The following is a 14049-nucleotide window of genomic DNA, read 5'->3' as shown; positions in this document are numbered from 1 at the left end:
CCGCCTTGGCCTCCCAAAGTGCTGGGATTACAGGTGTGAGCCACTCGCCCGGCCCCATCCTTATTTTCTTAGGCCTTTAGCCCCAGGTTTTACCCCTTTAATCAATCAAACTCACCTCTTAGTCCATGTTCCCTGCAACCTTTCCCTGGGCTCTTGAGGGTTTATCAGGGTTGAGGGTTGCCTTAGTAGGCTTGGACCTGGCTTTGCAGGACCTCTGTTCCCTTCACTCTACAGCTTCGTCTCAGTACAGGACCTCAAGACTCACCAGCGTCTCCCATGCTGCAGCCACCTGTCGTGGAGCAGTAGTGCATACCAGGCCTGGGCCCAAGAGGCTGGACCAAATGGGAACCCCCTGCCCCGAGAGCAGCTGTTACTTTTAGGGACACTAACAGACCTATCGGCAGACTTGGAACAAGAGTGCAGGAACGGAAGCCTCTATGTGAGAGATAACACTGGCGTCCTGAGCTGTGAGGTGAGTGGAAGGTGGAGATCAGATGCCTCAGATCCTGACAAGAATGGTGTCCAAGGATCAAGGCAATTAAGTCTCTGAGGAAACAAACGGGGAGGTGGGTGGATAGGATGCTAAGGTTCTGATTAACCCTTGCTCTTGGTCTTTCTTAGCTCATAGACCTGGACCTTTCTTGGTTGGGCCATCTTTTTCTGTTCCCCCGTTGGAGTTACCTCCCTCCTGCCAGGTGGAATTCCTCAGGGGAAGGGCACTTGGAGCTGTGGGATGCCCCTGTGCCAGTGTTTCCTTTGACCATCAGTCCTGGCCCCGTCACGCCTATCCCTGTCCTCTACCCAGAGAGTGCTTCCTGCCTGCTCAGGCTCAGGTAATTTCCCCCTCTAGGCATGGCAGGGGCGCTGTAAAACTGAAGGATGATGCTGGGTCAGTGGAGGGAGAGAAAGAAAAGGGCATTGATAGTAATATAGACTGAATGTTCCAAATCAAGGGAATGGTGGGCTTTGAATATTAAGAAGGTAAAGAGAAGGGTTGTTCAAGGGATCTGTGCCTTACCTAAGGGAAAGAGAATTTTGAAGGTTTTTAGCATAGCTTGCTTTGGGCTATGGACATTTTGTATCATTACCAGGTTATTCTTTACTGTGGAAGGGACAGCATTTATAGGGAAAAAGAAGAGAAATAAAGATGACTGCTGCTGCTTTTTTTTTTTTTTTTTTTTTTTTTTTTTTTTTTTTTGAGACGTAGTTTCACTCCTGCTGCCCAGGCTGGAGTCCAATGGCGGGATCTCAGCTTACTGCAACCTCTGCCTTTCAGGTTCAAGTGATTCTCCTCCCTCAGCCTCCTGAGTAGCTGGGATTACAGGGCTTTTTCTTCCTTCTTAGAAACAAGCTCAGAGGTGTGCAGCGAAACCTGGCTGGGAGTCTAGTTCGATTGAGTGCTCTGGTGAAAAGTAAACAGAAAGCTTACTTCATCCTGTCTCTTGGTAGATCACACCCAGCTGTCACCCACGTGTCCATCATCGTGCAGGTGAGGACTGGGGTCATTTCAGCCATGGAAGTGGGGGAGGGTGGTAGAACTTTCAGTAGGAAAGATAGCATCATAGGAGGAGCCATGTAGGAAAGGAGGACAGCTGGGGAGAGCTGTTTTCTGGAATAGCGCTGTTGGGAGAAGATTCCGGGAAATGTTTGTGCATAGAGTTAGGGAGTAGACTTTCCCGCTGTGCAACTCACTTGAGCACACAGCTTTTAGATTGTATGTGACCTTTTAAAAAACTGCCACGCTCACTTGTGGAGATGACCAAAGAAATCATTCATCTTAACACCATTGAGACATTGAATACAGGCATTAAAAAAAAAAAAAAAACTTGGTACTTACTGTTGACTCTTTTTGCATCAACTGGTACAATTTTATTTTTATAATTTCAACTTTTAGACTCATGAGGTACATGTGCAAGTTTATTAACTGGGTATATTTTGTGATTCTGAGGTTTGGGGTATGATTGATCTCTTTACCCAGGTACTGAGCATAGTACCCAAGGTAGAAATTGTAAATCATTGATCTTTATTCTAACCATTGTTTTATGACATATAAGTTTCTGAATAATGTTTCTTTTCCTTTTTATAGAAATTTTAAAAATATATGTATTTTGTAGAAATAGGGCCTTACTGTGTTAGAGAAGAACAGTTTGTCATACTTCCCTTGACATCAGTCACAATACTGGATACATATATACTCAATACACTTTGATTACATGAATGAATGTTGTTTGTGTGTTATGGGGCGGGATAGGGCACAGTTTTCTCAGTGGAATATTTATGTATTTTGAAGGAAGTTTTAGGGATGGTTTGTATGTTGGGGAAGTGGTTTGGAAATATTTGGCATCTCCTGTGAGAGAGGAGAGACGCTAAGATTTAGTTGGCAGACATAGGGAAGATGGAGAGGTGAGTTGAGACTCACAGAGGGCAGGTCTCTGAGTTCAAATCGTGAGGGAAAAGGACTCTGGCAGAGTGGCAGTGTTGGGGTCTCTTGTGTCACATTGCCTGTCTCTGCACAAGCCAGGTCCCTGCCCAGCTGGTGTGGCACAGAGCCCTTCGGCCTGGTACAGCCTATGTGCTGACAGAACTGCGAGTGTCCAAGATCCGTGGTCAGCGCCAGCATGTTTGGATGACCAGTCAGTCCTCCCGTCTGTTGCTGCTGAAACCAGAATGTGTGCAGGAGCTGGAACTGGAGCTGGAAGGACCCCTCTTAGAGGCTGACCCCAAGCCACTCCCCATGCCCAGCAACTCGGAGGACAAGAAGGATCCAGAAAGTCTTGTCCGGTATTCTAGACTCCTATCCTATTCGGTGAGCACAGGGAGAGATCCTAGAGCTTGAGGGGCCAGAAATGTGGGTTTTCAAAGAGGAAGAAAATAGTGGTCAACTGGACCTCGGCCTGTTTGCAGGGAGCAGTCACTGGCGTGTTGAATGAGCCCGCTGGCCTCTATGAGCTGGATGGGCAGCTGGGGCTCTGCCTTGCCTACCAGCAGTTCCGTGGCCTTAGGCGGGTGATGCGACCTGGAGTGTGTCTGCAGGTATGTGAGATCAGGGCTGATAACAAAAAGAGACCTCTGCAGCTTCTCTTACCTTCATAGGCTCCTTTTCTGCAGCAGGGTGGTTATATAGAAATATAGAAATTAAAAGTGTGTGTTAGGGGGCACTTTTGCTAAGGATAACTTGGACAGAAGCTTAAATAAAAAGGAGTAGAGTCTTGGGCACTGTGAGGAGGAGTTGTGGCCAGAGCATCTCCTTCACAGAAGGGCCTTTCAGCTGGAGGAGGAGATAGCTGAAGCACAGATCTGGGGCTGGGGTGATCTCAGGCGACCCGGTGAGAAGCCTCAGCCATGTCTGTTCATCCAGGAGCCACCCAGCCCACAGCAAGACTGAGTGGAGCTCATGGGAGATGAAGGCTGACCGCAGCGGGAGTGGGTTGTAATGGAAAGTGAGGCCAGCCCACGTGGGAGAAATTGCTTTCCGTCTTCCTGGAACCCAGGCAGTGGCAAAGTGCGGTTAACTCTGCCTGGGTTCATTGAGTTGGGGTCTTCATCTCTGCTTTTTCATTTTCTCTGCTTTCCCCCAGCTCCAGGATGTTCACCTGCTCCAGTCAGTGGGAGGGGGGACAAGAAGGCCAGTGCTCGCCCCCTGCCTCCGTGGCGCCGTTCTGCTTCAAAGCTTCTCTCGTCAGAAGCCTGGGGCTCACTCATCCCGTCAAGCCTACGGGGCCTCCCTGTACGAGCAGCTGGTGTGGGAACGTCAGTTAGGACTTCCCCTCTACCTGTGGGCTACCAAGGCCCTGGAGGAGCTGGCCTGCAAGTGAGGAGGCTGAGGGCCCAGGGCGGGGAGGCAGTGGGAGTAGCACACTTCCTTGGCAAGGAGAGCAGGATTCTTGAAGAGGCAGGCTCTTCAGGGGAAGTGACTGTGCTGCTTTTCCTGGCCAAGGCTGTGTCCCCATGTGCTGAGACACCACCAGTTCCTGCAACATTCCTCTCCTGGGAGCCCCAGCCTGGGACTGCAACTCCTGGCTCCTACCCTGGATCTTCTAGCTCCGCCAGGCAGCCCTGTTCGGAATGCACACAATGAGATCCTTGAAGAGCCACATCACTGTCCCCTCCAGAAAGTATGAGGATGTGGGGGAAGGATGGTGGCAGAACACTGGAGGACACCTGGGGCCCATGGGACACACACCCGATTTCTCTTCCCTCCTTGACAGTACACTCGGCTGCAGACTCCCTCCTCCTTCCCCACTCTGGCCACCCTGAAAGAAGAAGGACAGCGTAAGGCCTGGGCCTCCTTTGACCCTAAGGCCCTTCTGCCCCTCCCGGAGGCCTCCTACCTGCCCAGCTGCCAACTCAATCGCCGCCTGGCTTGGTCCTGGCTCTGTCTGCTGCCCTCTGCCTTCTGCCCAGCCCAGGTAAGGGGGACCCTAGCAGGGCTCAGGTGATTTCCCTTTTTGTCATCCTTATTGCCACGACTCTAGTCTCGGTTACTATCTTTCTTCGTCATTTTGACTACACTAGCCTTCTAAGCAGACCACTTCATCTGTTGTTGGCCCTCCAATTCATTCTCTCTGCAGCAACTAGAAATGGGGATATGCCAGGCACAGTGGCTCATGCCTGTAATCCCAACACTTTGGGAGGCTAAGGCATGAGGATCACTGGAGCCCAAGAGTTTGAGACCAGCCTGGGTAGAGAGACCTTGTTGCTACAAAAAAGTTGTCTTAATTAGGTGCGGTGGCATGTGCCTATGGTCCCAGCTACTCAGGAGGCTGAGGTAGGATTGCTTGAGCCTGAGAGATCAAGAGTATAGTGAGCCAAGATCACACCACTGCACTCCAGCCGGGGCAACAGAGCAAGACTCAGGAAAAAAAAGGAAGTTTAAAAAAAAGTGAAACTTGTATTACAGAACTCTCTTGTTTAAATCCTTTTTTTCGAGACAGGATCTTGCTCTGTAGCCCAGGCTAGAGTGCATTGGCGCGATCATGGCTCATTGCAGTCTCGACCTCCCAGGTTCCAGTGATCTTCCCACCTCAGCCTCCCAAGTAGCTGAGACTACGGGCGTTCACCACCGTCCCTGGCTAATTTTATTTTTTTATTTTTTTGGGACAGAATCTTGCTCTGTCACCCAGGCTAGAGTGCAGAGGCACTATCTTGGCTCACTGCAACCTTGCCTCCTGGGCTCAAGCAGTCCTCCCACCTCAGCCTCCCGAGTAGCTGGGACTGTAGGCATCCATCACCACATCCAGCTAATTTTTGTGTTTTTGTAGAGATGGGATTTTGCCATGTTTCCCAGGCTGGTCTCGAATTCCTGGACTTGAGTGATCTGCCTGCCTCAGCCTCCCAAAGTGCTGGGATTATAGGCATGAGCCACTGCACCTGGCCTGGGTTAATTTTTACACTTTTTAATTTTTAGAGATGGGGTCTCACTATGTTGCCAGGCTGATCTCCACCTCCTGAGCTCAAGTGATCCTTCTGCCTTGGCCTCCCAAAGTGCTAGGATTACAGGCGTGAGCCACTGCGCCCCAGCTTAAATTCTTTGCGTGCCTCCCAGTGCATATAAAGTAAAATCAAACGTCTCATTGTGTCCTGTGAGATCCCGCATGGCCTCTTACCTGTAACCTCTATTTGTGCGCTTTCTCTTCTCCTACTAAATGTGTGAATGCGTGTGTGTTTTTTTATGTCTGTCTTCCCCACTTGAATATAAGTTTTTTGAAGCCAGAGACGTGTCTTTTTTGTTCATTTTGTAGCTTTACCATGTAATACAGCATCTGGCAAATAGTAGATGCTCAGTATTTGCTGAATAAACATTTGATAACTCAACCTTCATCTTCTTGCAGGTTTTACTTGGGGTTCTGGTGGCTTCATCTCATAAAGGTTGTCTGCAACTTCGGGACCAAAGTGGTTCCCTGCCCTGCCTGCTCCTGGCCAAGCACTCTCAACCCCTCAGTGACCCACGGCTGATAGGTTTGGAGTTCAGATGTGGAAAGAAGATGGTAGTGGGATGGTGGTTCTCATAGCCAGGGGAGCCTGGGAGGAAAAGCCTGCTGGGATTTACTAGAGATGCAGAAGTGACACATGTCAATCAACAACTTCTGGGAGACTTGTATGGCAGGCAGAGAACAGGAGCAAGAGGACCCCTAGCCAGAATTTCCAGCATGCATTTCTCCACCGTAGCTCCTAACATGCACTCCAGGATTACAACTGTGTCTCCTACATTCTTAGTTTGGAGAGAAGGTGTCACCCCTCTAAGGTGGGGGTCAGGTGTGGGCTTTCATGTCATGTGAGGGCAGCAGCTCTGGCCTGGGATGGGTAGTGAGGCCGGTAGGATGGTTTGCCTTGCAACCCACCCCACAGGTCTCCTTTCTTGTCAAAACAGAAAACTTTCTTCCTCTAGGCTGCCTGGTGCGGGCAGAGAGGTTTCAGTTGATCGTAGAGAGGGACGTGAGAAGCAGCTTCCCTTCCTGGAAGGAGCTGAGCATGCCAGGCTTCATCCAGAAGCAGCAGGCCAGGTTGGCTCCTTGGGGTCATGGTTGTCTTGAGTCTGGGGGGAAGGAAGGGCCTGGTGGAAGGAGTGGGATGCTGGGGACCAAAATACCCAATGCCTGCATCACTAAGAAATGTATTCCTTGTCTCTCCCAACAGAGTCTATGTCCAGTTCTTTCTGGCTGATGCCCTGATCCTGCCTGTGCCCAGACCCTGCCTTCATTCAGCAACACCCTCAACACCTCAGACAGATCCCACCGGCCCAGAGGGACCCCACCTAGGACAGAGCCGGCTCTTCTTGCTCTGCCACAAGGAGGCCCTCATGAAGCGTAATTTTTGTGTCCCCCCAGGAGCAAGTCCAGAGGTGCCCAAGCCCGCCCTCAGTTTCTATGTGTTGGGGAGCTGGCTTGGGGGCACCCAGAGGAAGGAGGGTACTGGATGGGGGCTGCCCGAGCCCCAGGGAAATGACGACAATGATCAGAAGGTAAACTGGGACTCCAGGGACCCAGGACCTGACCTGCGCCCTGAGCCTCTGGCTAGGATCCCAGCACTTTGCTCTCCATCCTCCCAGGTTCACCTCATTTTCTTTGGCTCTTCAGTCCGCTGGTTTGAGTTCTTGCACCCGGGACAGGTGTACCGACTCATAGCTCCTGGCCCCGCTGTGAGTGTCCTACTTCATCATACCTTTCCCCAGAAAGCTTTTTTGGGGTTGGGGTCTAAAGAGGGCATGCCAGTGCCTGGTCATTCTCTAGGCCTCCTGGAAGAAGGCTGGATTTAGATACACCAGAAAGCCTGTGTGTGTTGACACACTTCCTTCTCCATGCTCCAGAAAGAACAAAATTGGGTCAGAATGTTTTGTGAACCTCCCACTGGACTAGCACACACTCACAGGCAGTCGTCTTCCCATTTCCGTGCAGACACCAATGTTGTTTGAAAAGGATGGTTCATCCTGCATATCTCGGCGTCCTCTGGAGTTGGCTGGCTGTGCATCCTGCCTCACTGTCCAGGACAACTGGACTCTGGAGCTTGAAAGCTCCCAGGATATCCAAGATGTGCTGGATGCAAACAAGTCATTGCCTGAATCCTCACTGACCGACCTGCTCAGTGACAAGTAAATGTCCACCAAGCCCCTCTGGTTAATTTGGCCACTCTCTCTTCTCCCAAGCTAGCTGGGTTTGGTGAAGACTTCATTTTCTGCTGCAGGAGGTATTTCTTTTGTTATTGTTGTTTTTGTTTGTTTTTTTTTGAGACGGAGTCTCACTCTGTTGCCTAAGCCAGAGTGCAATGGCCTGATCTCAGCTCACTGAAACCTCTACTTCCCTGGTTCGAAGGATTATCCTGCATCAGCCTCCCAAATAGCTGGGATTATAGGGGTGCACGCCACCACACCCAGCTAGTTTTTTTGTATTTTTAGTAGAGACAGGGTTTCGTCATGTTGGCCAGGCTGGTCTTGAGTTCTTGACCTTAAGTGAGCCTCCCACCTCAGCCTCCCAAAGTGCTGGGATTTAGGGGCGTGAGCCACCTTGTGCGGGTTTTGAATGATCTGCCACAACCCTCTTTTTCCCATAGGCCCTGTTACTCTTAGTGTGCAGTGTGGCAGAGCTCAGGTTTTTTCAGGACTTTATATATGAAGTTCTAGCAGATACTTTAGCTCCATTTTCTGCCTTGAATCTGACTGTCTCCACTCTGTGCTTTCTTGTGCCTCCATTCTCAGTGTATTTCCCTGACCTTCCAGTTTCACAGATTCCTTGGTGTCTTTCTCCGCTGAGATTTTGTCACGGACACTATGTGAACCCCTTGTGGCGTCTCTCTGGATGAAACTGGGTAATGACCCTTCCTTTGTGGGGAAGGTATGAAATAGAGTGATGGGACTTTGTGGACTTCACAGATCCTACTAACACCCACCTTCCTTCTATAGGGAACACGGGGGCCATGAGAAGGTGTGTGAAGCTAACAGTCGCTCTTGAGACTGCTGAATGTGAATTCCCCCCTCACCTGGATGTATATATAGAAGACCCACACTTGCCTCCCTCACTAGGACTACTTCCAGGAGCCCGGGTCCACTTCAGCCAGTTGGAGAAAAGGGTTTCCAGGTGAAGATGTGTAGTGTCACCTGCCTCCTCTTGCTACTGATGTGGCTCTCTGGAATGTGCACCCCTGCTTAACTTTGCTGCAGCGACCCCTTCTCTTTCATACAGGTTTCCATATATCAGTCTGCCATTTGTGCCCAGCCAGTACCCTCACGAGGTGTTGCAGGCTGGTCCTCCTCCTAGTCTTCCCCTAGCTTTGGTAGAGCCATGGCTAGGATATGTCCCTCAGGGGGAGTGGCCACTCTGTGGTGCTTGATCTCTGAGTCCCAGCTTCTACCCCAATTTGCCTTGTCTTCCTGGTCACTCACTATTCCTCTTCCACTTGCAGATCTCACAATGTTTATTGTTGTTTCCGGTCATCCACTTATGTGCAGGTCCTGAGTTTTCCCCCTGAGACCACCATCAGGTCAGTGCCCAGACCCCAACCCCTAAACTTCCTGGCTTCACATCTGCATCTCCCACATGTCCCTGGTTCTGAAGATTTTGCCATCATTACAGTCTTCTCCAATCCCAACAAGATGTGTTGAGTCAGAGGAGCTTCTCTACTCCAAATAAAAAATGCTCTGTGTCTATCATTGTACCCAGAATCATTTAGTGTTCTAGGCTTTTGAAGGCTTTTCAGTCTTAACATGCAAATATTTCTTGGCTAACATCATGGTGTTCAAACCTGAAAAATAACCAATGACTATCAGAGATCAGGAATTAAAATGGGGCTTCTAGGAGCGCATGGAACCCACTGCTGTCCCCATCCTGATGCCCTCTAAGTCCTTCTAGACCCACCCTGCTTTCAGAACCCCTTTGCCTGTTCTGTTATCTTGACCCCTGTCTCTGTCTCCCTGTATTTATTTAGCATTCCCCTGCCCCACATCTACCTGGCTGAACTTCTGCAGGGTGGTCAGTCCCCATTCCAGGCCACTGCCTCTTGCCATATCGTCTCTGTCTTCAGCCTTCAGCTCTTCTGGGTGTGTGCTTATTGTACCAGCATCTGCCGGCAGGTAAGGGAGGGAAGGAACAGGCTGAACTGAGTATGGAGTGCCAGAGGGATGTGATGGGACCAAGAGGACTTTTCCAACCACTGTCTTCATCCCAGGGAAAGTGCACTCGCCTGGGCTCCACTTGCCCTACGCAGACAGCTATAAGCCAGGCCATCATCAGGTGAGAGCACAAGGCGTGCACCCATTGTGCCATTTACTTATGAGACCACTTTGTCTATCTGCAGTTTCTACATTAGCATAATTCCTGGCTCATGAGAATTGCTTAATATTTTTTGAACGAATGAATGAGGGTAAGCTCCTAAATCTGTGAGCCAAAGACTGCAGACAGCGGGGAGGGAGGCATGTTGGGTCCAGGGTGTTGGCAACCTGGGTTGCTATAGGCGTTTTTATTTCCTCCTGCTCCCCATAGGCTCCTGGTGGAGGATGGGACTGCCGAAGCCGTGGTGACCTGTAGGAATCACCATGTGGCAGCAGCACTAGGGCTGTGTCCTAGAGAGTGGGCCTCCCTCCTAGATTTCGTCCAAGTGCCAGGCAGAGTGGTCTTGCAGTTTGCAGGGCCTGGAGCCCAACTTGAGGTGTAATGTGGCTGGGAGGGAGGGACTCGGATACCCAAATTCCTGGGCTTTTGGCAAAGGGTTTAGGAGCCAGTTAACCTTGACCTTCTCTTTCTAGTCTTCAGCCAGGGTTGACGAGCCCATGACCATGTTCCTCTGGACACTTTGTACTAGCCCCTCTGTCCTCCGTCCTATTGTGCTTTCTTTTGAGCTGGAAAGGAAACCGTCGAAGATCGTCCCATTAGGTAAGGTTGGAGACGGGGGGATCATGATGATAGGGGGATCATGGTGATAGAGATAGATGGGTCCCTGGGAGGAAGAGGGATGAGGGACTGATGGGGAATTTCTGGAGTTAGGGAGGAGAATGGTGGGTGGGAACTAAAAGCCACATGCCTGAGACGTGTGTTTTTCCTCTCTTCCCACCTCAGAACCTCCTCGGCTACAGCGATTCCAGTGTGGAGAGCTCCCTTTCCTGACTCACGTGAACCCCAGGCTCCGATTGTCCTGCCTTTCTATCCGAGAGTCAGAGTACTCCAGCTCTCTGGGGATCCTTGCTTCCTCCTGTTAACTGAACTGCAAGGATGGCCTGAGAGTCCTTCCTTGCTGAAAACCTGAAGGCCTAGGTCCTGGCTCCTCTCCCTACTTGTTCTGTGATTGAACCAAGGACTCCAGATTCACAAACTGCTACTCCACTATAATTTCCCTTCTTTGGTGTTCTGGTGCCAGCCTGCCTTGGCAAAATTGTGGCAACAGGAAATCATGGCCCTATTAATATGTCCTCTGATTGGGACAAGGCACCTGCATTCACAGGCGGCCCTGAGCACCTGGGTTCTGACTTTGTCGCAGGAGCTGAGGGAACAAAAGACTTGCTCGCTGTGGGGTGATGGTGACAGGCCTATTGACCTGCAATGAAGCCCTCTGGTGTCATTTCTCACTGGTACTCATCTCTGGGGTCCCAGGCCTCCTGACTCCTAGTTGTCCACCTCCTAGGAACTCCTAGTCGTTCATCATCATTTCAGCCCTTTGCCGCCAGGGCCAAAGGTGGAAAGTGATTTGGAAGAGAAGAGCTTTTCGTCCAGCAGAAGAAATGGTACCAAAATCAGTCTGTAAAGGAAGTAAATTGGGGAGTTGGCGGCAAGGCAGAGAGCATAGCTATGATGGTCTCAGTCAGTAAGGCTGGGCCCTGCAGGAAGTCAAATATGAATGCCTAGAGGTGTTCACAAGCACAAAGAAGGTGTAGGGGGAGGCAAGTGCCAGGCACAAGCAGGGGCAGGTGAGGACTCTGGGTGACTGTGCTATAGGGCCCCAGGCTACGGTTAGCCCTGTAGGTTTCCCAAGGGCCTGGCCTAAGGCAGATCCTTGATCGATATACCTTGAGACCAGAAGGTGCTCCGAAATCACAACCGTACAATTAGGGGATCTAGGAACAATTCTTTGGAGATACCAATGCCTTTGGCTGGTGTTGCTGCATTTCTTTACTGGGGACTGATAGATGGAGAGGTGGAAAGATGAGCTGAGGCACATCTTTCAGAGCTACTGGGAGGCCATTTCTTCCTGGCTGTTAGGATTTGTTCGTGTTTGGGAGACCTTTAGAGCGTGGTTAAACCCATATGTTGGGATTTATGCTGCTTTTATGGTAGCAATACCCTATATTAAGATTTGAAGTAGACCCGGAAAGTTAGTGGCCGGTTAGCTCAGTTGGTTAGAGCGTGGTGCTAATAACGCCAAGGTCGCGGGTTCGAACCCCGTACGGGCCAGTGGGTGGCTTTTTTTTGTGTGTGTTTTGTTTTCTGACCCTCTGCTGTTATCCGGAAGTTTCTACCCGGAGCCAGTTGCCTTCTGGTAACAGAATTATATTGCACCTACTGCTTCCTATTCCCTGAATCACTAGCGCTCCCGAAGGCTTGGAGGGAGGAGTCTCTGGGCACCCGGGTGAAAGGAAGGTTCACGTGCAACCGCCGCGTCTTTTTTTCCCTGAAGCGCTTTCATGGAGGCAGATGTTTGTCAGTCAAGGGAAGTAAGAAAGGCATTGGATGAAAACGAAGCCCTAAGCCTCGTAGTCGTGGCCGAGTGGTTAAGGCGATGGACTAGAAATCCATTGGGGTCTCCCCGCGCAGGTTCGAATCCTGCCGACTACGTCATATTTTTTTCTTCAGCATACTGACCATATTTCTCTCCAGGATGGGATGATCCAGTCGGCACCCTCCAAACCTCTCATCTAGGAACTCTAGAATCGAGAATTTGATTTAGAGTCTATGATTTTGGTTTGAAATCTATGATTAACGTCTTTGGACATTGAAGGAAATCCGAGGAATGGACAAGTGATGCAAGAGCCAGTTGAGTTACCAAATTAGTTCTAGAAAGATCTGAAAAAGCTCGGTCCGGGTTCCTAGCTCTATATTCTTGTAGATGAATTTCAGGAACCTTTATGGCAGCTTCGGCGCCGTGGCTTAGTTGGTTAAAGCGCCTGTCTAGTAAACAGGAGATCCTGGGTTCGAATCCCAGCGGTGCCTTTATTCAATTGAAACAGCGTGATTTTGCGGCTAAATCCACATCCTTTCATGTATTGTTTTTATATCAGAACGCGTAAGAGTTTCTGTTCTGCACTCATAGCACCCACATTTCCTGCAGAGTCAAGCTGCCACTCCCATGAGATCGCCACTCTAAAAGGTGGTTCTCTAACTTAGGGGCAGAAATGTTGCATAGGCCTAAGGGTCCTTTGCTTAACTGATGCCACACCCCACTGGTGCAGGTGGACTGGGTCAGGCGGCCGCCCCACCCTCGATGGAAGGGGCTGCCCACCTTCCAGGCCTCTTTCTCCACCCTAGGACGTCCCCTAGAACCTGAGCCACTTTGTTTTGTTTGGCTCTTCATTATAGTTCTTTGGGTTTGGTGGCTCATAATGTTATATATATAGTATATAATATAAAAATATATATTTAAATATACAGTATTTAAAATTTGGCACAGCTTCCAGATGCGGTCCTCTAACTGGTCTTTCACTTGCAGTTACCTCCATCCCTCTCCACCAGCGGGATGTCAGGGTAAGGAGTAAGCAGGGATCCGGCTGGCCTGGCCTGGCCTGGCACCAGGTTTCGTGCAGCAGGGTGCAGAAGGGCTGAGGCCATGTGAACAGAGTCCAAGAAAGCATCATTCGGGAGTCGCTAGGGATCCTGGTGTGGAAGGGCAGGGCACTTTTCTGGAGCACTGAAGCTAGGCTGGTTAAGGAAGAAATAAATGCCAGAGATAAGGCAAGAAATAGGATCTGTGAGCTCTTGGCAGGACCTAAACCTCCTTGGAAGATAGGCAGAAAGCTCTCGACACCATTCCATGGCCCACGAACCAATGTAAGATGAGCAAATGGCTTGAAGGAATTGCTACCTCCAGGTCAAGCCAGGGATGCAGCACTGCCGAGACCACGTTTGTGCCAAGCACTGGGCTGGACCCTGTGCAGAACCAAATGAACAAGGCACGTTCCCCTTTCAGCACTAACGGCACTGTAAGAACAGGGAGAAGTGGAATCTAATCTGGCCTGAGGGTAGAGGGTGATCAGCTAAGTCTGAAACACCATGTAGAAACTTGCCATGTATGGCCGGGCGCGGTGGCTCACGCCTGTAATCCCAGCGCTTTGGGAGGCCAAGGTGGGCGGATCACGAGGTCAGGAGTTCCAGACCAGCAGCCTGGCCAACATAGTGAAACCTGGTAACATAGTGAAACCTCGTCTCTACTAAAAATGCAAAAAATTAGCCAGGCGTGGTGGCAGGCGCCTGCAGTCCTAGCTACTTGGGAGGCTGAGGCAAGAGAATCGCTTCAACCTTGGAGGGGGGAGGAGGTGTTGTCAGCCGAGATCGCGCCACTGCATCCCAGCCTGGGCAACAAGAGTGAAACTCCGTCTCAAAAAAATGAAATAAAATAAACGAATGATCAGCTGTT

General features: G+C 50.3%; 1 protein-coding gene and 3 non-coding genes across 19 annotated transcripts in view; all 4 read left to right on the top strand.

The window, feature by feature from the left end:
- The window catches only part of CTC1 (CST telomere replication complex component 1), a 23242-nt gene extending 9193 nt beyond the window's left edge, over nt 1-14049 (top strand). Inside the window, exons 3-23 of one of the 16 annotated variants that reach the window (XM_011524010.3) lie at nt 235-472; nt 622-833; nt 1450-1489; nt 2522-2806; nt 2905-3033; nt 3579-3811; nt 3938-4115; nt 4209-4409; nt 5832-5958; nt 6389-6503; nt 6637-6961; nt 7049-7138; nt 7395-7588; nt 8213-8301; nt 8396-8570; nt 8896-8973; nt 9418-9562; nt 9658-9722; nt 9972-10137; nt 10235-10361; nt 10545-14049. In XM_011524010.3, coding sequence (XP_011522312.1) covers nt 235-472; nt 622-833; nt 1450-1489; nt 2522-2806; nt 2905-3033; nt 3579-3811; nt 3938-4115; nt 4209-4409; nt 5832-5958; nt 6389-6503; nt 6637-6961; nt 7049-7138; nt 7395-7588; nt 8213-8301; nt 8396-8570; nt 8896-8973; nt 9418-9562; nt 9658-9722; nt 9972-10137; nt 10235-10361; nt 10545-10684 — 3352 coding nt within the window. In that variant the 3' untranslated portion in view covers nt 10685-14049. Of the gene's footprint in view, nt 1-234; nt 473-621; nt 834-1344; nt 1490-2517; nt 2807-2904; nt 3034-3578; nt 3812-3937; nt 4116-4208; nt 4410-5831; nt 5959-6388; nt 6504-6636; nt 6962-7048; nt 7139-7394; nt 7589-8212; nt 8302-8395; nt 8571-8895; nt 8974-9417; nt 9563-9657; nt 9723-9971; nt 10140-10234; nt 10362-10544 lie in introns of those variants that run through there. The other 15 variants (NM_025099.6, NR_046431.2, XM_047436799.1 and 12 more) reach the window with 15 other exon arrangements.
- Nucleotides 11800-11873, top strand: TRI-AAT4-1 (tRNA-Ile (anticodon AAT) 4-1). Its single transcript has one exon. It is a non-coding gene; the product is annotated as a tRNA-Ile (tRNA).
- Nucleotides 12173-12254, top strand: TRS-AGA2-6 (tRNA-Ser (anticodon AGA) 2-6). The gene has a single exon. It is a non-coding gene; the product is annotated as a tRNA-Ser (tRNA).
- TRT-AGT1-2 (tRNA-Thr (anticodon AGT) 1-2) lies at nt 12556-12629 on the top strand. Its single transcript has one exon. It is a non-coding gene; the product is annotated as a tRNA-Thr (tRNA).

This window comes from Homo sapiens, chromosome 17 (assembly GCF_000001405.40).
Source record: "Homo sapiens chromosome 17, GRCh38.p14 Primary Assembly".
Taxonomy (NCBI): Eukaryota; Metazoa; Chordata; class Mammalia; order Primates; family Hominidae; genus Homo; species Homo sapiens.
This window is presented reverse-complemented; position numbering and strand designations above follow the sequence as displayed.